The sequence below is a fragment of the Homo sapiens genome, chromosome 6 (assembly GCF_000001405.40).
Source record: "Homo sapiens chromosome 6, GRCh38.p14 Primary Assembly".
NCBI classification, from domain to species: domain Eukaryota; kingdom Metazoa; phylum Chordata; class Mammalia; order Primates; family Hominidae; genus Homo; species Homo sapiens.
Genome location: NC_000006.12, coordinates 149,566,102 through 149,593,059, shown reverse-complemented (window position 1 = coordinate 149,593,059; position 26,958 = coordinate 149,566,102). Strand labels below are relative to the sequence as shown.

Genomic DNA, 26,958 nt, shown 5'->3' with positions numbered 1-26,958 from the left:
AAGTGGTCTCAAAAAAACCAACCATGGCCGGGCATGGTGGCTCACGCCTGTAATTCCAGCATTTTGGGAGGTCTAGGTGGGTGGATTACCTGAGGTCAGGAGTTTGAGACCAGCCTGCCCAACACAGTGAAACCCCATCTCTACTAAAAATACAAAAATTAGCCGGGCATGGTGGTGGGAGTCTGTAATCCCAGCTACTCAGGAGGCTGAGGCAGAATTGCTTGAACTTGGGAGGTGGAGGTTGCAGTGAGCTAAGATCACACCATTGTACTCCAGCCTAGGCAACACGAGTGAAACTCCATCTCAAAAAAACAAACAAACAAAAAACAACCATTACTTTCTTGGATAGTGTTTTCAAAATGATGGGTTGCAGTATATATATATATATATATTTTTTTTTTTTTTTTTGAGACAGAGCCTTGCTCTGTCGCCCAGGCTGGAGTGCAGTGGTGTGATCTCGGCTCACTGCAAGCTCTGTCTCCCGGGTTCACACCAATTCTCCTGCCTCAGCCTCCCGAGTAGCTGGGCCTACAGGTGCCCCCCACCACGCCCGGCTAATTTTTTGTATTTTTTTTTTTTTTAGTAGAGACGAGGTTTCACCGTGTTGGCCAGGATGGTCTCGATCTCCTGACCTCGTGATCTGCCCACCTCGGCCTCCCAAAGTGCTGGGATTACAGGCATGAGCCACTGTGCCCGGCCAGTAAAAATATTTTTTAATGAAACAACAGAAAGTATCACATAGAGGGCCAGGCGCGGTGGCTCATGCCTGTAATCCCAGCACTTTGGGAGGCCAAGGCAGGCAGATCACAAGGTCAGGAGATCGAGACCATCCTGGCTAACATGGTGAAACCCCATCTCTACTAAAAATACAAAAAATTAGCCGGGCATAGTAGCGGGCGCCTGTAGTCCCAGCTACTCGGGAGGCTGAGGCAGGAGAATGGCATGAACTCGGGAGACGGAGCTTGCAGTGAGCCGAGATTGCGCCACTGCACTCCAGCCTAGGCGACAGAGCCAGACTCCATCTCAAAAAAGTATCACATAGAGATGAGTTATATGTACTCGTTCACATTGTAAAATATTAATATGTCAATATGAGTGATGGTTAAAAAAGGTAATAAAACACTTTTAGGGTAAACAGCACTATATCTAGAACCACAAGACCAAGGGCACAGTCTAATTCATGACATCAATGGACTCATTCAATTTGAGCCATGGTTTCAGCCAGTGTAAATGAAAGTATACCTACTCCTGCATCTCAGCCATTCTTACCTGGGCAAAGGTTTTATATCAGTGTAACCAAAACAGCTATACTTTTTTCCTCAAAAAAAAAAAAAAAAAGTTTATTTTAGAGTGAGAACATGTCATACTACTTTTAAATCTTGGAGCATTCAAGGTAAGTAGTCTTGGTACAGGATACAATCAAATCATGATACACTTCAGTGATTTTATACTGAGTCACATACTTAATATAAAGGCACACTGTACTGAATAAAAAAATAAGTGTTAAGTTCTTGACCTTTTAAATTAGAATTTTATAAAGTGCTTTTCATAAAGTCTTATATATTATAGTAATTAAGTGGATATAATTTCCTTAACAAAGGCACCTTGAAAAGTTATTGGCACATGAGATTTTGTCTGGTCTTTTTTTTTTCTTTTGATAATTTCAAAGTCTCTTCACATGTGTTCTCTTCCACTTTAAGTTTTCCTTAACAATTCATCATATGAATAGCCAGCCCTTTTAGAGAATAAGGTCAACTTTTTTTTTTTTGAAACAGAGTCTCGCTCTGTCACCCAGGCTGGAGTGCAGTGGCGTGATCTTGGCTCACTGCAGCCTCCGCCTCCCGGGTTCAAGCAATTCTCCTGCCTCAGCCTCCCAAGTAGCTGGGACTACAGGCGTGCACCGCCACACCCAGCTAATTTTTTTATTTTTTTTAGTAGAGACAGGGTTTCACCATGTTGGCAGGATGGTCTTGATCTGACCTCGTGATCCGCCCGCATTGGCCTCCCAAAGTCCTGGGATTACAGGCATGAGCCACTGCACCCGGCCGAGAATAAGGTAAACTTTAACTTGGCACTGTAAAGGTCAATTTTCAGGCAGTCTTAGAGTTTAGCAATTTCTCTAGTGTATAAACTGATTCTTAACGATTTAAAGAAAATTATATTCAAGTGGCAAATTTGGAGGCAACAGGCTACTTCGGAGTCCATGATATGAGATGGCGTTTTAAATACATGTTTTATCTTCAAGGTTTTCAGCTCTTTTCTCTGGACCATCTGGATATAAGTTGATAGCTGTCACAGGTATGACGTCCACTTTATCCAACTGAAGAATTCCTCTGAAATAGAAAGTGATTAATTACTATCAAAATTAAATGTTTCCTCTGCCTGTAGTTTGATAGTGAGAAAAGGCTACTTCAAGGTTATAATATACACCTAAGGTTAGGTGCTTTTGCTACATTCTATTTAAAAATTCATAGTGGTTGTACAAACTGAGCCCAAAGTCACTTTAACCAAACTGGCTGAGAGAATAGAAAGGCATCGAGGAAGTTCATTATTTCCTATTTTAGGGAAGAATAGGGTAAGTATAGATCTCCAAGGCAGAGTTAGGTTCCTAGATACACCCAGGCTGAGCAAAAAGCCTAAGCCTAAGCCTCTCTCTAAATAATACTCACCACCACAACACAACCTTAGGTCTTTAGATAGTGTTGCTCTTTTTGTTACTTAAAATCCCTGACCAGAGAGTACGTCTTTGGATTGAATCTAGGACCCTGCATTGTAAATTCAGTGTTATTCTAATAAGAACATCAACGGGGGTTAGTTGTTTATAGAACCAAACAGATTCTAAAGTTCACAGGGGAGTAACTGCAAGAACAGCCATAAGATTTTTTTTAAAAGAACAATGGGGAGAAGACAAAGTTGTCTTAAGTAGCTCTCAAAGGTTTTATTAAAACATGATAGTAGGCCAGGTGTAGGGGCTCACACCTATAATCCCAGCACTTTGGGAGGCCAAGGCGGGCAGATCACTTGAGCCCAGGAGTTCAAGATCAGCCTGGGAAACATGGCAAAACCCCATCTCTACTAAAAATAGAAAAAATTAGCTGGGCATGGGACACATGCAGTCCCAGCTAGCTAGCTATTCAGGAGGCTGAGGTGGGAGGATCGCTTGAACCCGGGAAGTGGAGGTTGCAGTGAGCCGAGATCGTGCCACTGCACTGCCGCCTGGGTGACAAAGTTAGCCCCTGTCTCAAAAACAAAAACAAAACATGAGAGTAATTAAAACTGTGCTACTGGCACAGGAATAGACAAATAGATCACTAGGACAGAAAACAGTCCAGAAAAAGACTAACATATATGGAAATTTAGTTTATAATAAGGTAACATTCTAAGTCAATGATAAATTACTAATGGAAAAATGGCCTCTGTCTGGGAAACAAAATGAGAACTCTAGCTTTAAAAGTATACAGAAAAGTAATGCTAAAAAATAAATTTTGGCTGGGTGCAGTGGCTCATGCCTGTAATCCCAGCACTTTGGGAGGCTGAGGTGGGTGGATCACCTGAGGTCAGGAGTTCGAGGCCAGCCTGGCCAACATGGTGAAACCCTGTCTCTACTAAAAATACATAAATTAGCCGGCTGTGGTGGTGCACGCCTGTAATCCCAGCTACTCGGGAGGCTGAGGCAGGAGAATCTCTTGACCCCGGGAAGTTGAGGTTGCAGTGAGCAGAGATTGTGCCACTGCACTCTAGCCTGGGCAACAAAGCGAGACTCTGTCTCAAATATATAAATAAATAAATAAATAAATTTTAAGAAAATATAATGGCTGGGCACAGTGGCTCATGCCCTTAGTAATCCCAGCACCTTTGGAGGCTGAAGCAGGAGGACTGCTTGGGCCCAAGGAGTCCAGCCTGGGCAACATAGTGAGACCCTGTCTCTACACAAAATAAATTTTTTTTAAAAAAATGGCTGGGCACGGTGGCTCACGCCTGCAATCCCAGCACTTTGGGAGGCCGAGACGGGTGGGTCACTTGAGGTCAGGAGTTCGAGACCATCCTGGCCAACATGGTGAAACCCATCTCTACTAAAAATACAAAAATTGGCCAGGCATGGTGGCGGGCGCCTGTAATCTCAAGCTATTCAGGAGGCTGAGGCATGAGAATTGCTTGAAACCAGGAGGTGGAGGTTGCAGCAAGCCAAGATCACACCACTGCACTCCAGCCAGGGCAACAGAGCAAGACTGTGTCTCAACAACAACAACAACAACAACAACAAATTAGCCAGGCAGGGTGGCAAGTGCCTGTAGTCCCAGCTACTTGGGAGGCTGAGGCAGGAGGATCGCTTGAACCCAGGAGGGTCAAGGCTGCAGTGGGCCTTGATAGCACTGCCACTGTACTCCAGCCTGGGCAACAGAACAAAACCCTGTCTTTAAAAAACAAAAAACAAACAAAAAAAGCCCCATAATTTTAAGATAGGAAAGTCTGGCCTACTTAGTAGGCAAAATAAAAACCCTACATGCTGTAAAGGAATAACATGAATTACTTAGGCCTTGAATTTAAAGCTTTTGTATGATGAGATACCATAAATAAGCAAAAGACAAACGATAGGCTGGGATTAGTAAAAAAATCTGCAATGTGCATTACATATGTATAACAGACAAAAGAGCTCTTATATACTAATAGTTACAAAATGCCAACACAATTGAAAAATGGCCAGAGGCTCTACGTAAGCAAGTCATGAGAGAATCATATATAGCCAATTATCACAAAGATGTTGAACCCACCCAGACCTAAACTAGCAAAGATGCTAGTAAGATGAAAATGCAAATTAAGATGAATTATATTTTTAGTAGCAAAACCAAAAAAGATTATCATCAGGTTGTAAGGAGTTAATACAATTACTTGTGACACAGTAATTTTACTTTTAGGAATCTATTCTACATAAATACACATGTGCAAAGAAATATATGTGCAAGGATGTATACTAGAACATTATTGGGATTAACATGAAATTGGAAATTACCTAAATGTTAGAGGAATGGTTATATTAAGGTATATCTATACTGTGGAACACCTGTGATATTATGACTTGTAAGTTCCTCTGGCTTCCTGGAACAGCTCCTAAAATCCTTAAATCTCCAAAGTGGTAAGTATCTTTTGGATGCTAATGATGACTGATGGCTGGGGGATCCTGGATAGCCTCAACAGGGGAGCTGGTTGCCAGGGGTATCAACCATGAGATCAGTCCCATCCCCCAACCTTGGGGAAGGGAACGGGGTACTGAAGGTTGAGTTGATCACCAGTGACCAATGATGTAATCAATCATGCCTGTGTGATGAAACCTGCAAAAGAACCCAAAAGGACTAGCTTTGGAGAGCTTCTGGATAGCTGAACACACAGAGGTATGGGACCTGGATAGAGGTGCACCTAGGGAGGGCAGGGAAGCTCTGAACCCCTCTCCCCCTCCCCATGTCTTGCCCTATGCACTTCTTCCATCTGCCTCTTCATGTTTCCTTTGTAATAAACCAGTAAGTGGAGGTGTTTCCCTGAGATCTGTGAGCCGCCCCAAAGACGTCCCAAGCAAATTAATCAAACCCAAAGAGGAAGTCATGGCAACCTCTTTATACCCAGCTGGTCAGAATCACACATCACAACCTGGGGCTTACAACTGGCATCTGAAGGGGGGCAGTCTTGTGGAACTAAGCCCTTAGCCTGTGGGATCTGACGCTGTGTCCAGGTGGAAAGTGTCAGAACTGAACTGAATTAGAGGACACCCAGCTGGTGTCCACTGGAGAATTAGTTATTGGTGGTGAAAAATCCCCACACACGTATTGGTGCCCAAACGTGAAGTACTCCAGAGTGTCAGAGTAGGAAAAACCAAAGTATTTTTCCTATGCTTTGGTTTTTCCTATCTCCTTTAGAACTATGCAGCCATAAAAAGAATAGGTAAGCTATACATAATTATGACATGTCAGTTAAAAATAATATTAAGGGCTGGGCATGGTGGCTGATGCCTGTAATCCCAGAACTTTGGGAAGCCAAGGTGGAAGGACTGCTTGACCCCAGGAGTTTGAGACCAGCCTGGGCCAACCTGGCCTCTACAAAAAATAAATTAAAAAAATTAGCTGGGCATGGTGACACACACCTTAGTCCTAGCTACTCAGGAGGCTGAGGTGAGAGGATCACTTGAGTCTTGGGAGATTGAGGTGAGAGGATCACTTGAGTCTTGGGAGATTGAGGCTGCAGTGAGCCATGACTGAGCCACTGCATTCCAGCCTGGGTGTCAAGGTGAGACCTTGTCTCAAAAATAAGTAATAAAAAATAAAATAGAATTAAAATAACTAAGGGGACAAAAAAGAATATATGTAGTGATAAGAAAAGATCTTAGGTCTATGGTTCCCAAACTGCACTGAGGTCCCTGGGTTGGTGAGCAAACTCACAGAGGCACCACAGAATAATATAAATTTTCAAGAGACTTCATGTGTAATATTACCTTGAGGTTACTTCATGCTTTTAACATTAGATTGCAAAACATTCAATGAAGTCAATCTTTCCAAAGCTGGGTTTTGGTGGTGCTAGATTTGGAAAGTTTTTCCCCTCCAAACCTCATGTTAAAATTTAATCCCCTATGTTGGAGGTGTGGCCTAATAGGAAGTGTTTGGGCCATGAGGACAGATCCTTCATGAACAGATTAATGCCCTCTCTGGAGGGGAAGGGAATGAGTTCTCATTATTCATTCCCTGGAGACCTGGTTGTTAAAAAGAGCCTGACACCCCCCTGCTGTTCCTCTTGCTTCTTTTCTTGATATGTGATCTCTGCACATGCTTTGCCTTGCGAAGCTGCTGAGTGGAAGCAGCCTGAGGACCTCACCAGAAGCCCAGCTGATGGCAGCACCATGCTTCTTGTACAGCCTACACGGTTCTTGCAGAACCATGAGCTAAATAAATAACCTCTTTTCTTTATAAAGTAACCAGCCCAGGTATTACTTTATAAGCAACACAAAATGGCTTAACACAGGTGGTTACTATGATAAAAAGCAAATACTGTACAAAACTAACACTGAACAAGAAATGAGGATGCCAATTTCCAGTCTGATGCCAAGATATGAGGTATTGTGTAGTGCTCTATAGGCACTCACATCCCATTAGTATTTCTTAAATTAGTAATTTAAGAACAAAATTGCTGGGCGCGGTGGCTCACCCCTGTAATCCCAGCACTTTGGGAGGCCAAGGCAGGGGGCTCACGAGGTCAGGGGATCAAGACCATCCTGGCTAACACAGTGAAACCTCGTCTCTACTAAACATACAAAAAATTAGCTGGGCGTGGTGGTGGGTGCCTGTAGTCCCAGCTACTCGGGAGGCTGAGGCAGGAGAATGGCATGAACCCGGGAGGTGGAGCTTGCAGCGAGCCGAGATTGTGCCACTGCACTTCAGCCTGGGCGACAGAGTGAGACTCTGTCTCAAAATAAATAAATAAATAAAAAATAAAAATAAAAATCTTTATATTTGTCTTTTGGCCTAAGTATAGGGGCATTAAAAAAATTTACTGGCACACTAAGGATACTGTAAACCAAGAAAGTTTGGGAAACCTGTGTCTTAAGTGAAAAATGCAATGTAGAACAATTAACAATCTGAGTTGATAAACAATTATGATTATCTAGTGTACATTTACATTAATACATAGAATTTGGATTAAAAATGTCAACTCAGTTGACAATGACTACCTCTAGGTAGAATAAGAATTGAAGAACAGAGAAGGGATACTTTCAGTTCATTGCTCTCTATAGTTCTGTATTAAATCCTTTTCTACCAGGAAGTATCTGCAGTACAACTGCAAATTTGGTTTTTAATTTTATATTGCATCTGTTCCTGCAGAGAAACCCATAACAAAACAATGGCAAAAGAAAAAGAAAAACATTACAACACCGTTTTCTATGCAGGTATACATAATAAAGTTCAAAAAAGTTTGGAACTTCCTGGCAGCCAAAGGGGAAAGAAATCTGTTAAACTACAGAATTTTTATTACAGGTCAAGCATCCCTAATCCAAAATCCAAAATGCTCCAAAATCCAAAACTTTTTGAGTGCCAACATGATACTTAAAGAAAATGCTTGGCCAGGCACAGTGGTTCACACCTGTAATCCTAGCACTTTGGGAGGCCAAGGCAGGAGGACAACTTGAGGCCAAGAGTTCAAGACCAACCTAGCCAACATAGCAAGATCCCCGTGTCTCTCTCTCTCTCTCTCTATATATATATACATTTATAAATATTTATATAAAATATATACAAGTATTATATATATATTTCCATATATGCAAAGGAAATGCTCCCAAGAGCATTTTGGATTTTGGATTGAGGATGCTCAACCAGTAAGTATAATGCAAATGTTCAAAATTCCAAAAAAATCTGAAATCTGAAACACTTTTGGTTCTAAGCATTTTGGATAAGGATATTTCTATATCAGAAAGGAATGGGAATGCCAATTCAGTGGAAATGTAAACTAAGAGGTGGGAGGGGCAACTAATATTTCTTTACTCTGCAGGTGCTTTGCTTGCTTCATGACTTTGACTTTCAACAATCCTTCAAGGGAGGCATTAGTTCATCATTACACCTGAAGAAGTCGGAGGTTCAAAGACCTCACAACAAGCAAGTGGAAAAGTAAATGTTCAAATTAGGTCTTCTTTTCCAAAAATCCTGTTACATAACAGTATAATGCAATGTAGCTAAGCCAAGAACTGTGGTCATCTGCATTGAGATTTGTTTCTGTTAAGATAATTAAAATGACTAATGGGCCAGGTGCAGTGGCTCACGCCTGTAATCCCAGCATTTTGGGAGGCCGAGACGTGATCCACCTGATCCACCTGAGGTCAGGAGTTCGAGACCAGCTGGGCCAACGTGGAAAAACCCCATCTCTACTAAAAATACAAAAATTAACCAAGCAAGGTGGCGCATGCCTGTAATCCCAGCTACTCGGGAGGCTGAGGCAGGAGAATCGCTTGAACCCAGGAGGCGGAGGTTGCAGTGAGCCAAGATCATGCCACTGCACTCCAGCCTGGGTGATGGAGTGACATTCCATCTCAATAAATAAATAAAATAAAATAAAATAAAACGACTGATTTAACTTGAAAAAATACTAACAATAATTCATTTTAAATTTTATAATTTTTGACTAAAAAATATACAAAAGGAAGTCAAAGTCAGTCTCTCCACCTCTGCTCTCATTCCCACTCATTAGAGATAACTTGTTTTCTCATTCCAGAAATTTTCTATGCATTTATATACACATAATACTTTTGTTTTACCTAAATGTGATCATACTGCTTTGCCATATTTCCCCCCACATAATAGATTTTGGACTTATTCAGCCAGAGAAAATCTCATTAGACCTCACTGATATACAGTTAAGAGGGCTTTTATTTTGCTTTTACTTTTTTTTTTTTTTTTCGAGAGGGAGTTTTGCTCGTTTCCCAGGCTGGAGTGCAATGGCGCGATCTCGGCTCACCACAACCTCCGCCTTCCGGGTTCAAGCGATTCTCCTGCCTCAGCCTCCCAAGAAGCTGGGACTACAGATGGGTGCCACACGCCCAGCTAGTTTTTATTTTTATTTTTTGAGATGAAGTCTCACTCTGTCGCCCAGACTGGAGTGCAGTGGTGCAATCTCGGCTCACTGCAACCTCTGCCTCCCAGGTTCAAGTGATTCTCCTGCCTCAGCCTCCTGAGTAACTGGGACTACAGGCGCCTGCCACCACGGCTGGCTAATTTTTGTATTTTTAGTAGAGACAGGGTTTCATCATATTGGCCAGGCTGGTCTCAAATTCCTGACCTTGTGATCTGCCCGCCTCGGCCTCCCAAAGTGCCAGGATTACAGGCATGAGCCACCAGGTCCAGGCTAATTTTTTTTTATTTTTAGTAGAGATGGGGTTTTACCATGTTGGCCAGGATGGTCTCGATCTCTTGACCTCATGATCCACCTGCCTTGGACTCCCAAAGTGCTGGGATTACAGCCATGAGCCACCGTGCCCAGCCTATTTTGCTTTTATTTTCTATTACAAACAATGCTGCAATGAATATCCTGCTTGTCTACTGAAATTAACATTTTAAACTGATACTCTGGGGTTGAAAATACATCATGAAGTCCTCGGGTTTTGTTCACCTCTGATCATACAGTTGCATTTTCCATTACATGTATTTGTTTCCTTCCTCTGCTACTAGATTTTAAGTTCTTAGCAGAGTTTGTCTTACTTACATCTGAATCTCTCCAAGAATGTCTTGATCACAATAGCTATTCAATAAATGTGTTTCAATTTTGCTAACATTGGAAGATGAGCTAGAAAAACAGTAGGTGTTATTTTCCCTCCCATTTGTCTTACCCTTTCTAATTTTTATATTTTCTATTCTAAAACATAGCAAATATGTCTCACTTTTTAATCATTAAAAATACTAACATTTCAAAAATAAGAAATACTTACTTGTATTCAGAAACTGGGAAAAACACCTTTAAGATGGTTATTACCACAGCTGCTCCTGTAATTCCAACCACCATGATGTTCAAAAACTGAAAGAATACTGGGAAAACGTTGCTCCAGAACCTACACAGATCTTTTCTAAACTTTTCCATCCACTGACACATTACCTGAAAAAGGAATTTCGATTAGATATGCAAGTTGCATCAATCTCTAAGAATAAACTTTAAATTTTTTAATGTTTTAGCTTTGGGATGATAAAAATATTCTATATTTTGATTGTGCTGGTAGTTACATGGGTGACTACATTTGTCAAAACTAATTGTATATTTTAAATGGTGATTTTATTTTAGAATGTACCTCAATGAAGTTACTTACAACTTTAAAAATTATGTTCTAACAATACAAGCACAAAAATGTTAATAGCCTGTAAAATTATTTATATTGTTTTCTAACTACAAATCAAGTGAAAATAATTGCTAATTGACAAGAGATTCGTTAGGCTAGTCCATTATAAACGAAATGGAGCAGAGTCAACTGTTTCCAGTACCTAGAGCACAAGAGAAGGAAGAGAAAGACAAACATATTAGAAAATTTTAGAATACATGGGAAGTTCACTGTGTACAAAACATGTTTCTATACTTTAAGAGCGAGAGCAGAACTTAAGGTCGGCACTGATGGCACGGACTATGAAGACAGTCTGCTCTGGGGCTGAGCTGCTAAGGGAGGTGAGGTAGACAGGGTAAAGGTGCTACAGTCCAGACTGCTGAAGTGACCTCAAATATGCAAGCCTGACCTTCAGTGAGAACTACTACTCCTTTAATACCAACCATAGACCCTGCTCATTTAAAATGAATTTTGGGTAGGAGTCTACTTAATATACAGAGAGATATCGGGATACTCTCTGAACCCATGAATATATTCCTGGTAAGCAGTATAAATGTCACAGGTAACATCTGAGAAATTAGTAGGTGCCAATGCATATTTATATGTAGTACCCAACTTATTTAATCCTTGTAACAACTTCATGAGATACTACTTTACACTGCTATTCAGATTAAGTGGGTGCCCCATTGTACAGATAAAGAAACTGAGGGTAGAGAGATTAAGTGCCCCAAAGTGGGAGTACGGGGAAATAAAGAGTAATTATCGGCCGGGGATGGTGGCTCATGCCTATAATCCCAACACTTTGGGAGGCCAAGATGGGCGGATCACTTGAAGTCAGGAGTTTGAGACCAGCCTGGCCAACATGGTGAAACTCCATCTCTACTAAAAATACAAAAATTAGCTGGGCGTGGTAGCGTGTGCCTGTAATCCCAGCTACTCAGGAGGCTGAGGTGGGAGAATCACTTGAACCCAGGAGGTGGAGGAGTAAGCCGAGATCACACCACTGCACTCCAGCCTAAGTGACAGAGTGAGACTCCATCTCAAAGAAAAAGAAAAAATTTGTTCAAGATCACACAACTAGTCAGCGGCAGAACCAGGTTTCAAGCCTGGGCAGGCTGACTCTAGGAAGTATATTCTCAACCACCTGAGCTGAATCACTGGGCAAGATCCTGGGGGCACAATGCATATGTGTGTATGCGAGGTAGCGGGTACAGAATAAACACAGAAATCTGGATATGAGAAATAACTGTGGAATTTATAATTCCAACCAAATGAAATCCAGCACCTTGATAATCATGATCTGACTACAATATTATTAAACAAAGCTCGAAGAGGAAAATAGGAATACTAAAAATATCACATTAAGACCAAGATGAGTCCATTATCACCAATGCTCTACAGTTCCATTCTTCAGGATTTCCACTCCATTTTAAATGCTAGGGTCGATTTTCTTCATCTTAACCATGAATGCTTATGATAACACCAAATACTTGATTTACCTTATATGAAGATGGCGGCTCTGCTCTGAGAGGAGTTTCAGGTAACTTGCCAGGTAAAACATCTTCATCTACAGTGGTTTCCACATTCCTGATAAGATACTGGCTAGTGGTTTGCAGTGAACTAACACTTTCTACCCAGGAGAAAGAGCAACGTTACCAAAATGCTGGTGTCTTATCCTACTAGTCCTAAGATTACGATACCAATAGCATTTAGGATAGTAAGAACACATATTTTACCATGGGAGAAAAAATTAACACATCTGAATGTTCACTGATTTAAATGTCAGAAGAGAACTATAAACTAAGACACGTATAAGGAGCTAAAGCAGTTATGATTCTGTCACATAGAAAGCCAAAATTTTAGAAGTTCTATGTTTCTGTGAAAAAATGAATAGTTCTTCCTCTGAATGAACCTTTACAATAGTCTTATTACATATTTTGTGATCAGTACCCAGAGTAAGAGTAATTACTGAAAAATGTCACTATGCAACCAGCACTGATCACATTCTACTAATGCTCCAAATAGAGTCCTAAAGTCCTTAAATGGACATATGAAGCAATACATGTTATGAAGCATTTTTTTAAACAAGCTCATTTCCAAACATATTAACTATTAAAGATAAATAGCAACTTTTGCAAATAGTGTAAAAAATAACAAAGTTCAAGAGTATATAAAGCTACCAACTAAATAAATAATCTCCTTAATACTTTAAATAATGGTCTTTTAAGTTACCTTTTTTGGAGAGGTTAGGAAGGGTAAATAAAATGTCACTGTCTCGAGAAATAGAGTAGAGCATGCTTTCTTCCAAAGGGAGGGTATAGTTTGAATGTCTGAGTACTCCCCGGTTCTTAACTAAAATATCAATTTCAGTGACATCCTTTTGCTGAACCTGTGAAAGAAAATATAATTATTCTTTATTTTAAATAGTAGCACAGCCCCATAAAAATTTAAAAGCAAATTTTCCTCCCAGATTTATATAACTAAAACATGTGTCCTATTCAGACAATTACTCTTTTTTTTTTTTTTTGAGATGGAGTTTCGCTCTTGTTGTTGCCCAGGCTGGAGTGCAATGGTGCGATCTCAGCTTGCCGCAACCTCCGCCTTCTGGGTTCAAGCGATTCTCCTGCCTCAGCCTCCCGAGTAGCTAGGATTACAGGCATGCGCCACCATGCCCAGCTAACTTTGTATTTTTAGTAGAGACAAGGAGTTTCTCCATGTTGGTCAGGCTGGTCTAGAACTCCTGACCTCAGGTGATTCGTCCACCTTGGCCTCCCAAAGTGCTGGGATTACAGGTGTGAGCCACCATGCCCAGCTAACAATTACTATTTATTTCCCCGTACTCCCACTTTGGGGCACTTAACTTGCAACTTTAATAATATTCCTGTCCTGCTTTAACACTTACTATTATAAGCTTAATCTCGATTCTACTTCATTTACACACAGAGACTTCATTTACCATAGAGGAAATGGTAGCAGAACTATGAGCCAAATTGAATCTCTTTGCTTACTTTCTATTTAATAATGTCTGTACATTTTAAAGTGATACAAACATGTATGAATATGGGAAATTTTAAAAATACATTTCAAATGCTAAAATAAATATACAAAAATTCTAAATAATTGGATATAGGCAACATTAGGCACCTTCCTTATCAAGTCGGAAACAAATAAAATAACTGAACACATGCATAATATCTAGCACAAATCTAAATATCATTTAATTCCCAATTAATAAACATACTATCTTACTTGTTTTCCATCAATCTCTACTACCTCTTCTTGAATGACAATTAGTTGCAAACTGGAACCAGATGTCATAGGCCACTCATGAACTAAAATCCTTACACTGACAATTCCAAAATATTCTTTTTCCTCCAAATTTTCAAGATTTTCATTCTTCACTATAAAAAAAAAAGTAGTGACACCTTTGAACAAAGATTACCACCAAATCTGTGAGTGAGTGTGATTATTTTGATGACATTTACATGGAACAAGACAGTTGAAAACCCATTTCTTTGGCTTTCTTCATCCCTGACCTCAATGCTGTTTCAGATTTATTAAAAACAAAGACAATCTGACAAATCTTTATGACTGCTTACACTCATTTGAAAGGGTAAAATGTGTTGATCTTTAGACTTTGTATGAAATACCACACTAGCAACATCTTTCCTATTCTTTTTTTTTTTTTTTTTTTTTTGAGATGGAGTCTTGCTCTGTCGCCCAGGCTGGAGTGCAGTGGTGCCACCTTGGCTCACTGCAACCTTTGCCTCCTGGGTTCAAGGGATTCTCCTGCCTCAGCCTCCCAAGTAGCTGGGTTTACAGGCTTGCACCACCATGCTCAGCTGTTTTTTTGTATTTTTAGCAGAGATAGGGTTTCACCATATTGGCCGGGCTGGTCTTGCTAACTCCTGACCTCAAGTGATTCACCCACCTTGGCTGCCCAAAGTGCTGGGATTACAGGCGTGAACGACCACGCCTGGCCCATCTTTCCTATTCTTTTATACAGGTTGGCCATGAGGAACCAACATGGCACAACTATAAAGCCAGCCAGAAGATACAGCCAATCCCACGTTTTAACATAATAAGCACATACATTCATCCATCCACAAAATCCTGTGAGAGAAGATGCCCAAGCAGTAAGAACATTGAGTTTTTTAATCAATCCTTTCCCCGATTAGTGACTCATTACTATTAGAGAGAGCAGGAATGGGGAAAGAGGGTGGGGGAGGCCTGTCATTTCTCTCTGGTAATCGATAATGGGGTAGGACTAGCTATTGTCCACGTTCTTCTCTAGCTAGGAAACCTCTACTCCTGCTCCAGTAGAAACGGGGTGTAGTAGCTGCAGCTGGTTTACAGAGCCAACGGCTACTCTATTAAGGTAGAAGTGCTATCGAAAAAGATAAAACAACATACACCAATGCACCTGTCACAGATGGAGCATTTTATTTCTATCCCTCAAATAATCTGAAGATTTTTGCCAAACAGGAATCCAGATATACAATCTGAATGCACACCCAGCTGTTTAGTCTGATTCTGTGCATCTATAGGGCTACTTCCTTTGTCTGGAATATCTCAATATCTAGTTCATTAACTACTTACTATTACAAGATATACCTACCTATTCTCCCCTGCTTTAGTCCCCGCCGCCAAACCATTCAGACAACATGCCAAGCTCGTCTCACTGTGACGTGGTTTTCAGTCCACAGCCTCCTGCTCACACACCTTTAGTGGCACTTCTGTGAAGTTCCCGGTCCTCTCACTGGTCCTCCTCAGGCTCCTCATCTGGCCCCTCGCTGCTCCTCTCTCTAGTGTGCCTAATCCTTCATGCCCTTTGAAAAGCACCACTGTCAAAGGTACCCCCTCTCTCATGGTCCATCCCCGTGTTTTAACTGACCATTACCACCCGTGGGTCTCCTTCGTGGAACAGCAGGCGCTGTGTCAGCATGTCCGTAAGCCCAAAGACTAAGGTACAGGAGACTCAATGGGTGAGAAAATGCAGTCATAAAAATACACCCAAGTGGCAATTCTTCAGCCTGCAAATTTGGTACCTGATATAGTTTGGATGTTCCCCGCAAATCTCATGTTGAGATGTAATTCCCAATGTTGGAGGCGGGGCCTGGTGGGAGATGTTTGGGCCATGGGGGCAGATCCCTCATGGCTTGGGGTTACGGCACCCCACTGCCACTCTTGCTCTCTCTTGCTCCTGCTCTGCCATGTGAGATACTGGCTCCCCCTTTGCCTTCCACCATGAGTAAAAGCTTCCTGACGCCTCCTTAGAAGCTGAGCAGATGCTGGTGCCATGCTTCCTGTACAGCCTGCAGAACCATGAGCCAATTAAACCTCTTTTCTTTATAAATTACCCAGTCTCAGGTATTTCTTTATAGCAATGTGAGAAGAGCCTCATACAGTACCTCTAATACAGCATAAAATTAAATAAAAAACAACAAAGCCCTTCATATTGACTTCCTTACTGTGGTAGGCGGCTTTCAAAAATGCCCCTCAATGACCCTTGCCTCTAAGGAGTCAGACATTTCTGCAATTCCTCCCTCAAGTGGGCTGGACCTAGTGACTAGTCAGTTAGTTACCTATCTATCTATCGATCTATGAATGATTTTTTTTTCTTTTTTTGTTCTTTTGAAAGAGACAGCCTTGCTATCTTGCCTAGGCTGGTCTTGAACTCCTGGCCTCAAGTGATCCTCCAGCCTTAGCCTCCCAAATAGCTGGGATTACAGGCATGAGCCAATGCACACAGCCTAGTGACTCGTTTCTAACAAACAGAGCATAGCCCAAGTGATGGAATGTTACTGCCACAATTAGATTATTAATGGCTATGACTTCTGTCTTGCTAGTACTCTTTTTCTTACTGGCAGTCTCTCTTGTCCTCTCGATGAAGCTAGTTGCCATGTTGTGAGATGCTCTATGGGGAGCTTCGTGTGACAAGGAACTGAGGAAGACCTTCAACCAACATCTGGTGAGGAACTGAGGCCTCAGTTCAAGAGCTCAGAAGGAACTGACTCCTGCCAACAACCACATGAGTGAGCTGGGAAGCAGATTTTTCCCAGCTGAGCCCTGACGTGATGGCAGCCTTTTGAGAACCACAGGACCCTGCTAAGCCAAGCTCAGATTCTCGACCTACAGAAACTATGAAATAATAAATATTGTCTTAGGCCACTGATTTCTGGGTTAAACTGTTATGCAGCAATAAACAAATACACCAACTAAAGAAAAAGTTTCTTTAAAGAATTAAAGAAGATTTGTTGTTGTTGCTGCATTTAATGTTTTGAAGATTCTTGCTGTAACTGGATAAGATGAGCATTTATTTCAGTTATCATAGAAACAAACTCAGTGCAATGACTGGGATGACTAAAAGATGGCCATAAGAGAGGAGACAGGCTGTATTCCACGTCCAATTCCCAGTGAATACAACAACAAAAGAATTATTATTTCAGTAGTACTAGCACTTCCTTTCTTAGCTACCATGGATCAGCTTGCAGCACACCAACCCTCTTGCAATGAACCACTTGCAAAGAACTGCTAGAAAAGATGTAAAAAATACACACCCACACATACACACAAAACCTACATCTGTGTAGAGGCATCAGAAGCTAAAGACAGCCAGCACTTGAAGGGCCAAGAAAAGAGCTCCCTGAGGTGAGTACAATATCCTATGTGATTTCTTCCCGCAAAGGCATTTGCCAACTCCCAGACAGAACAGGTGGAGAGGTTGAAAAGCTGAGTAGAAAGCAACGACTAGGAGGCAAAAAAGCTCGACAAAGTGTCTGGCAGTCTCACCCAGCAGGGGAGAAAATGAAGTGTTTAAATGTTAAAACAAAAATGCTAAGCTATGCTTCCACAGCCAGCAAAAATAGCCTTCTAAAATGAAGGCAAAGAGATGTTTTCAGACAAATAAAACCTCAGACCATTCACTGCTAACAAACCTGTACTGAAAGAAATACCAAAGGGAATTCTTTAGGCCGAAGGAAAATGACAACCAGGGCACAATGCATGTGTGTGAGGGCAAGGCAGGAGTTGCAGAATGTACAGAGAAATAGGGATAGAAGAAAGAATTTTGGAACTTGAAATTCCAACCAAATGATATAGAGTGGAGCACAGATAGGAAGGAATAAAGAGCAATGAAAAAGGTAACTATGATGGTAAACACACATGAATATTGGACTACATAAAACAATAATTATGTCACATGGGGTTTAAGAACACAAAGAGTTAAAATATATAATAATAACCCAAAGGCAAAAAGGGAATAAATGGAATTTAAGTGTTCTAAGGTTCTTGCATTGTTTGGGAAGTGATAAAAGTACAAATTTATTTATTTTTATTTTTTAAATTCATTTTTTGAGACAGGGTCTCACTCTGTCACCCAGGATGGACTACAGTGGTACAATCACAGCTTACTGCAGCCTCTATCTCCTGAGCTCAAGGGATCCTTTCACCTCAGCCTCCTAAGTAGCTGGGAAAACAAGCCTGCACCACCACACTGGGCTCATAGGTTTCCCTATGTTGCCCAGGCTGGTCTCGAACTCCCAGACTGAAGTGATCCTCCAGCTTTGGCCTCCCAAAGGGCTGGGAATACAGGCATGAGCAACCATGCCCAGCCAAAAGTACTAATCTATTGATAGCAAGGGTAACCACTAAAAGAATAGTAAAATTACGTAAAACCAAGACAGAAGGGAACTATGATACCAAAAATAACTAACCTAGAAGAAGGCAAAGGGGGAAGAAAAAGAAACACAGAACAGTTGGGACAAAGAGGAAACAAGAAGGAGGATTTAAATCCAAATGTATCAGTAATTTTATTAATGTAAATAAGTTAAAATCCCAACTAAAAGACAGACTGACAGAAACAACAAGTGGGCCGGGCACGGTGGCTCACGCCTGTAATCCCAGCACTTTGGGAGGCCGAGGCAGGCGGATCACCTGAGGTCAGGAGTTCGAGACCGGCCTTGACCAATATGGTGAAACCCCATCTCTACTAAAAATACAAAAATTAGCCGGGCATGGTGGCGGGCACCTGTAATCCAAGCTACTCGGGAGGCTGAGGCAGGAGAATCACTTGAACCCAGGAGGAGGAGGTTGCAGGGAGCCGAGATCGCGCCACTGCATTCCAGCCTGGACAACAAGAGCAAAAACTCCATCTCAAAAAAAAAAAAAAAAAAATCCTATGTATATTCTTTGTATTTGCTATTTCATCCAAATAATATGGCATATTCCAATGCAACATACCTGCTTACCTTTAAACAACTCAAAATTTTTAAAGGTTAAAAAGAAAATGTTCTACTGACATAAGGGTAGAAGAAACTGAATACTAGATAATCAGACAATTCATTTTCTTGGCTCTTGCTATCCCATTTACTACCTTTATGCACATTTTTTTTTTTTTGAGCCAGGGTCTTACTCTGTTGCCCAGGCTGGAGTACAGTGGCGATCCTCCCACCTCTCAGGAGTAGCTGGGACTACAGGCACACATCACCACACCCAGCTAATTTATTTTTGTATTTTTTGCAGAGACAAGGTTTTACCATGTTGCCCGGGCTGGTCTCGAACTCAGGGCTCAGGCAGTTCACCCGCCTCAGCCTCCCAAAGTGCTAGAGCCGCCATGCCCCGCCTCTATGCACATTCTTACATCGTTATCTACTTACCAGAAATACAGTTTCATCAATACTGATCTTATGGAAAATAGTGAATATGCGAGAAGCAGCCAATATAAAACAAGAACAGAGTTTTAAACACATTAGTGTTATTGTACATTCTGATAATGATCTGTGTGTGTGTTTTAGAGATGGGGTCTTGTTCTGTCACCCATGCTGGAGTGCAGTGGCATGATTATAGCTCACTGCAGCCTCAAACTCCTGGGATCTTGCTTCAGTGATGTATATTTTTACTTTATTTTTATTTTTTTTGTGACGGAGCCTTGCTCTGTTGCTCAGGCTAGAGTGCAGTGGCGTGATCTCAGCTCACAGCAGCCTCCGCCTCCTGGGTTCAAACGATTCTCCTGCCTCAGCCTCCTGAGTAGCTGGGATTACAGGCGCACACACCACATTTTCAGTAGAGATGGGGTTTCACCGTGTTGGCCAGTTTGGTCTCAAACTCCTGACCTCTCGTGATCTGCCCACCTCGGCCTCCCAAAGTGTTGGGATTACAGGCGTGAGCCACTGCACCCAGCCTATTTTTACTTTAAAATGGAAATATATAACATCCAAAAATTGTTTTGCTAATTTAGTATTATTAAAAACAGAACAGGCCAGGCACAGGGGCTCACATCTGTAATCCCAGCACTTTGAGAGGCAGAGGAGGGTAGATGGTTTGAGGCTAGGAGTTCAATCAAGACCAGCCTGGCCAACATGGCGAAACCCTGTCTCTACTAAAATTACAAAAGTTAGCCGGGTATGGTGGCACATGCCTGCAGTCCCAGCTACTTTGGAGGCTGAGGAATGAGAATCATTTGAACCTAGGAGGTAGAGGTTGCAGTGAGCTGAGATCGCACCATTGCACTCCAGCCTGGGTGACAGAGCAAGACTGTCTCAAAAAACAAACAACAACAACAACAACAACAAACACACAAAAAACAGAGCAATTATGGAAATAATTTAGTAATACTCACCTATCAAAGTCTGACAGCTTATTCGGGTTACACCACTATTTACAGGTAAGTCATTTACATACACCTGTCCACTCTCATAGGTTATGTTAAGAACAACCTTAAAATAAAGCAGCATATACATTAATTCCAATATTTATAAACAATAGCAAACTCTTCAAGTCAAAAAAGATTAACTAAATGAGACGTGCAAGTTAAAAAATCAAATAAGCTGCATAGCACTTAGCTAAATTATATATTAAAACCAGAAAAGGAGACAAACCTGCTGTTTAGATATGTCCCCATCATCTTTCAGTGTAGTTACATTAATTCTGATGCCGTCCTGTAAAACAAGTATTGTGTAAATTGGAAGGTGTGCATCTCACAGATTGAGAACAACGTGGCTTTCTCTTTTCCCTCCAATTGTATCTATTGTACAATCACTTATAACAGCATTAAGAGAGTTTAAAAGATCATCTTTTCCATTTTATAGCCATTTTTCCACCCTTATTTACAATTCCAATTATTTATTTATTTATTTATTTATTTTTTGAGAGTCTCACTTTGTCGCCAGGCTGGAGTGCAGTACCGCAATCTGGGCTCACTGCAATCTCCATCTCCTGGGTTCAAGCAATTCTCCTGCCTCAGCCTCCCGAGTAGCTGGGATTACAGGCATGCACCACCACACCCAGCTAATGTTTGTATTTTTAGTAGAGATGGGGTTTCACCATGTTGGCCAGGATGGTCTTGAACTCCTGATCTCGTGATCCGCCCTCCTCGGCCTCCCAAAGTGCTGGAATTACAGGCGTGAGTCACCGCGCCCGGTCTAATTTTTTATAATATATACTTTTTCTATTTACTTGTGAAAAGTATCACATGAGTATATAATATGCAAATATAGAGTTTAAAAGATGAGCACTCCTGTAAGTACCACCGAGGATAAAATATAAAATATTACCCCTACCTTGGCAGGCTCTGCATGATTGCCCTCTATCCCCCCAGAAGGAATCCTATACCCAATTCCATTTGAATCATTTCTTGCTTTTCTTTATAGTTTTACTACCTGTGTCTCTCTCTCTAAACAATATGTTGCTTAGTTTTATCTGTTTCTGAGCTTTATGTAAGTGGGATAACAGTACACATGTATTCTTCCGTAACTGTAGTTGATACTGTTGATGCACATAGCTGTAATCACAGTAGTCCATCTCTGACTACCAATTTACTTATTTATTCTATTACCCACGGACATCTGAGTTGTTTCCAACTTTTTTCCTTTTATAAATAAAGTTGCAATGACTTTTTTTTTTTTTTTTTTGAGAGGGAGTCTCGCTCTGTTGCCCAGGCTAGAGTGCAGTGGCGATCTTGGCTCACTGCAATCTCCGCCTCCCGGGTTCAAGTGATTCTCCTGCCTCAGCCTTCTGAGTAGCTGGGATTACAGGCATGCATCACCACACCTGGCTAATTTTTGTATTTTTAGTAGAGACGGGGGTTTCACCACGTTGGTCAGGCTGGTTGCGAACTCCCGACCTCGTGATCCACCCACCTCGGCCTCCCAAAGTGCTGGGATTACAGGCGTGAGCCACCGCACCTGACCAAAGTTGCACTGACCCTTTCTTGAGTGTGTTTCTTATACAAGCATCTGTAATGCTCCAATTTTATTGCCTCTCAAGGTATTATCAAAAGCAGGATACCCAAATATTGAAGATGACATGCTTTATATACAGAAGCAAGCACTATTTTAAGAAGTATTTACCACTGACCACAGGAACTACAATCTATCATTTCTAAATCAAATTCTTTCCTAAGTTTATTCACAAATAGACATTGTTATTCTGGAATAAAAACAATACTCTCAAATACTTTTTCTTTGAGGTTGTATTAACTTAGAAAATAGGAAAACTGTTCATAAACATCAAAAAGAATATACAAGTATATCTGCTGGCCCTGAGTATCCTAAATACTTTATATATAATTTCCCACAAATGAGAGAATAAGACTGATGAAATTTCATGAGGTCGAGCTGATTCCAGGAATAATTTGTGAAAGAGGATTCATACCACACAAGACCAACATCATACATTTAGGGTGACTTTGGTTCACTTCCCAACTAGGAGCCTAGGAAGCTTTCTAACTAGAAATTCCTCAGAACTAGCCAGCTTTTTCCTGGCTCACCTTGATCTAGACGGTTAGAACCAATAGTGCATCTAAAACAAATCCACATTCAATGAGCTATGAGATTGATAGCTACATTGTTTTGTGTCCAAATTCAAGTCATATGGATCTCCTTTGCAAACTAGAGAATGTATTAATTATAAACTATTATTCTTCTAACAGCCCAGAAGTAAGCCTCCAATGTTGTTCTAGGAAACCATTTTATAGCTTCTGCCTTTTAGCAGTGAACACTATATTGTTAGCAAGTTACTGAACTTTATATATATATATATATATATATATATATATATATATATATATATATATATATATATATATAAAACCTACCTAGTAAAATTACAGAGTTTGAAAAAGACAATTAACAGACACAAGCACACTATATTTTCCAGAGAACCAAGTACAACAAAATTATTTTCTGGTCTTTCTGAATGATTTCACTGCAAAAGGGAATCACACTCCTTACTGCCCCCTGGCCAGGAGTTCAGAGCCAGGTCATATTTATTGTTCTTGAGAACTTCTGATTGAACTGGAAGTTCAGGCTCGTAAGCCAGGGTTGCATATACTTAAAAAGTGCTTGGGGACACTGAAAAGTTTCTCCCTAAAAATCTTCAATTCTTCTAATTCCTTTACTCATAGGATGCCCACTGGGGACATAAGTGTCTTCCTAAGAATAAAGGTAATAGACAGCTGGTTTAAAATACGTCTGAGCGAAATATACAGTTATGCATACAAGAAAGTAAGTGTCCTCCGAATGCCTCTCTTTGGTGACCAAGTTATTTTAGTATTAGAAGAATTTACTATAAAGACTTTTATTTTTCGGTCGGGCATGGTGGCTCATGCCTGTAATCCTAGCACTTTGGGAGGCTGAGGCGGGTGGATCACCTGAGGTCAGGAGTTTGAGACCAGCTAGCCAACATGGTGAAACCCCGTCTCTACTAAAAATACAAAAATTAGCCAGGCATGGTGGCACGTGCCTGTAATCCCAGCTATCTGGGAGGCTGAGGCAGGAGAATCGCTGGAACCCGGGAGGCAGAGGCTGCAGTGAGCCGAGATTGCACCACTGCACTGTGCAGGATGGGGGACAGAGCGAGACTTCACGTCAAAAAAAAAAAAAAAAAGTGACCGGGCGCAGTGGCTCACACCTGTAATCCCAGCACTTTGGAAGGCTGAGGCGGGTGGATCACTTGAGGTCAGGAGTTCGAGACCAACCTAGCCAACATGGTGAAACCCCATCTCTACTAAAAATATAAAAAAATTAGCTGGGCGCAGTGGCGGGAGCCTGTAATCCCAGCTACTTGGGAAGCTGAGGCAGGAGAATCACTTGAACCTGAACCCAGGAGGCAGAAGTTGCAGTGAGCCGAGATCATGCCAGTGCACTCCAGCCTGGGAGACAGAGTGAGACTCTCTCTCAAAAATAAAAAACAAAAAATAAAAAAATAAAAATAAAAATACAAAAACTAGCCAGGTGTGGTGGCACGCGCCAGTAGTACCAGCTACTCAGGAGGCTGAGATAGGAGAATCACTTGAACCTGGGAGGCAGAGGCTGCAGTGAGCCGAGATCATGCCACTGCACTCCAGCCTGTGTGAGACAGAGCGAGATATTCCGTCTCAAAAAAAAAAAGACTTTTATTTTTCAATCTTATGTGCAATCTTGTATTACCTCAACTTCTGACAACTGCATACATAAAAACAGAAAAATGCTTATAGTCCAATAAATCTGAGTCATCGGAAGAAGGCAGAATTTTCCTGACTTCAACCAGTTTAATTTATATCAGACTGGAAACGAGGATGGACAGATGTGATAAAGCTAGTAATGTTAAGGGTAGTCTGGTTCTGCACTGTTCAATATGGTACACACTAATCACTTGTGACTATTTACATTTACATTGATTAAAATTAAATAAAAATTTAAAAACAGTTCCTCACTGGCACTGGCCACATTTCAAGTGCTCAGTGGCCACAGCAGTCTAGTGGCTACCCACAAGGTGAGAAAAGACATAACCATCAAGGCAGAAAGTTCTACTGGACAGCACTTACACAATATGTGGGACCACTGTGAAATTCTTTCCTATTGGAAATGTTTCACAATAAGACGTTGAGAAGACTTAGATCAAGGGACTTCAGTTTCCCACAGACACAGTCCAGGTAATGAGATTCTCTTTCTAGTTGTTCAGCACTCATTTAATCTGTGAAACTTTTTGTTGTTGAGACAGGCTCTTGCTATGTTAACCAGGCTTATCATCCAACACCCAACTCTTGGTCTCAGGCAATCCTCTGGCTTTGGATTCCCAGTAGCTGGGATTACAGGCGTGAGCCACTGCACCCAGCGTAATATGTGAATTTCCGAGTTTAGATCTGGACTTTCTGAAAGTGAAATGAAGGCCCAAGAAGGGAGAACTGAAATAGTAAAATCATCACTAAGAGCCAGCCGACAATGCAGTGTATTTTAAGCCTGCAGTCAAAATGTATTTTTCGCAGATTATATAGACGTAAACATCTCATTGACACATAGGTGTCAATTATGAATCTTTAAAACTTGAAAAATAGGAAAATAATGTCCGTATTTCCAGAACTTTTTAGAACTATTTCACTTTTATTTGGTCCCTTGGTGCCTGTCCATCACATTCCTATTGTTTAACCAGATGCAACTGTGGTCCACATATAATTTCAGATATAGGTGGTTCTTATGGCAGGCAATGTCGTGGCTTCTTGGAATGCCCTGCAGAACTGAGACATGCTCATCATTTTTGTACCCACGTGGGGTAATGTCATTATCCTAAAACGTTAACACTTGGTTTTTTTGTTTTTGTTTGTTTGTTTTGTTTTGAGCTCCCTCACCCAGGCTGGAATGCAGTGGCACGATCTCGGCTCACTGCAACCTCTGCCTCCCGGGTTCAAGCAATTCTCCTGTCTCCGCCTCCCGAGTAGCTGGGACTACAGGCACCTGCAACCACGCCCAGCTAATTTTTCTATTTTTAGTAGAGACGGGGTTTCACCTTGTTGGTCAAAGTGACACTTACCGTGCCCTTCGCCTTTGTATTTAGAGTGTTCATATTCAAGTCTTGACTAGGAAGAGGTGTACCGACATAGTTTCTTGTCATTCTCAGAACACTTGCTCTTTAAAATATTCAAACTTTTCCCTACCATTCTACTGAAAAAAGGCTGATACTGGCCTAGGTAGGCACGACTCTACGGCAGGAATGGTGAGCATCAGCCACGTTTTAATGTTAGGATGCCTCGATTCTCCCACCTCAGCTGGCATCAGAAGCACCTGCAGGACTCTCCAACCCGGACTGCTGGGCCCCGCCCCCAGAGGCCGGGCTGAGTCCCCAGGGGATGCGGACACCGCCGATCGCGCCCCGCCGTGAGAACTTCTCCTCCAACATCCGACAAAAACATTACGTCGCGCGAGGGCCAGGTCTCTCCCTCTGCCCACCTGAGCCCGGCGGAGCCCCGCAGCCTCGGAACGGCGGACCCTCGCGATCGCAGGCCGAGCAGGCACAAGTGGCCTGGAAATGCGCGAAGTGGGCAACTTCCACACTTCCCGAGCACACAAACATTCCTTGCCCAAGCGCTGGCTCTACCCCGGGAAGGCGCCATTACGAAGGCCTGATCACCGGCAACCGCGCGCTTCGACGGCAAAGCCCCGTCAGGTCGCGCGCCGGCTTGGGCCGCCGGAGAGTCGGTGTGGAGTGGCTCGAGGCTCACTCACAGCGACGCAGCCCCAGTGGGTCCCTTTCCTCTTACCTCGGCCTCCCACGCCGCCCCCATTTCCTGGGGTGCTTCTCCCCACACCTCCTTCGGGGGCCCGGACCCCCGCCCCTGCCCGCCGGTGGGATGTGGGAAGCGTCACTGTGGACAGCCCGGGCCTCCCGGAGAGTCGGAGTCGTAAAGCGGCCAGCCAGGCCCGCCCTGCCCTACCTGTGGGGCTCCGGACAGCGGCGGCGGCTCGGGGGCGCCCGTCGTCAGCCAGCCGGAGGCGGGTAGCGCCACGAACAGCAGGAGCCGGAGGGCGAGCGACCCCGGTGGAGCGCCCTCCATCTTGGACAACCCGGGCAGAGGGCAGCCGCGGCCGGGAGGTGAGGGCGGAGCCGGCCCGCGGGCGGGACGGAGCTTCGGCGGGAGGGACGGGGAGGGGCGGGGAGAGACGGGGAGGGGCGGGACGGGCCCTCCCCTCCCCGGGCGGCCGCGGAGAGGCGCGGGGACGCTCCGAGATCCGGCTCGCCAGGGAAAGGCGTTTGCGCACGCGCAGCGCCGCGCGGCGTCGAGGGGCGGAGTGAAATCTTGGAAGGTACGGCCCCTCATTAGACCCGCCCTCAGGATTGGACAGGACTCCAACTGGAGCGATGTAAAT

The 26,958-nt window shown here is 42.5% G+C and overlaps 1 protein-coding gene across 1 annotated transcript, besides 3 other annotated features; it reads right to left on the bottom strand.

Annotated features, from left to right (window-relative positions):
• Window positions 1-1,311: 1,311 nt before the first annotated feature.
• Window positions 1,312-26,685, bottom strand: GINM1 (glycosylated integral membrane protein 1). The gene is made up of 8 exons (NM_138785.5): window positions 26,526-26,685; window positions 20,716-20,775; window positions 20,457-20,553; window positions 14,087-14,238; window positions 13,070-13,226; window positions 12,337-12,467; window positions 10,457-10,620; window positions 1,312-2,333 (listed from the first exon to the last, which is right to left on the bottom strand). The coding sequence occupies exons 1-8, from the start codon at window positions 26,643-26,645 to the stop codon at window positions 2,222-2,224; spliced, it is 993 nt and encodes a 330-aa protein (NP_620140.1). The 5' UTR covers window positions 26,646-26,685; the 3' UTR covers window positions 1,312-2,221.
• Window positions 24,893-24,942: an enhancer, noted in NCBI's record as "active region_25265". NCBI's record gives its function as "activates an Ori minimal core promoter by ATAC-STARR-seq in GM12878 lymphoblastoid cells {active_cell/tissue: GM12878}" and the evidence as "EXISTENCE:reporter gene assay evidence [ECO:0000049][PMID:35858748]".
• Window positions 26,089-26,138: an enhancer, noted in NCBI's record as "active region_25264". NCBI's record gives its function as "activates an Ori minimal core promoter by ATAC-STARR-seq in GM12878 lymphoblastoid cells {active_cell/tissue: GM12878}" and the evidence as "EXISTENCE:reporter gene assay evidence [ECO:0000049][PMID:35858748]".
• Window positions 26,409-26,958: a silencer, noted in NCBI's record as "silent region_17663". NCBI's record gives its function as "represses an Ori minimal core promoter by ATAC-STARR-seq in GM12878 lymphoblastoid cells {active_cell/tissue: GM12878}" and the evidence as "EXISTENCE:reporter gene assay evidence [ECO:0000049][PMID:35858748]".

What these genes read in the sequence shown, in the direction of transcription:
- GINM1 (NM_138785.5), bottom strand. Translation starts at nt 26,645, where the DNA reads ATGGAGGGCGCTCCACCGGGGTCGCTCGCCCTCCGGCTCCTGCTGTTC. An exon ending in TAGAGATTGATGGAAAACAA is followed by an intron (nt 13,227 to 14,086) that starts GTAAGATAGTAT and finishes TTTCTTTCACAG; the next exon opens with GTTCAGCAAAAGGATGTCAC. An exon ending in TCCTAACCTCTCCAAAAAAG is followed by an intron (nt 12,468 to 13,069) that starts GTAACTTAAAAG and finishes TCTCCTGGGTAG; the next exon opens with AAAGTGTTAGTTCACTGCAA.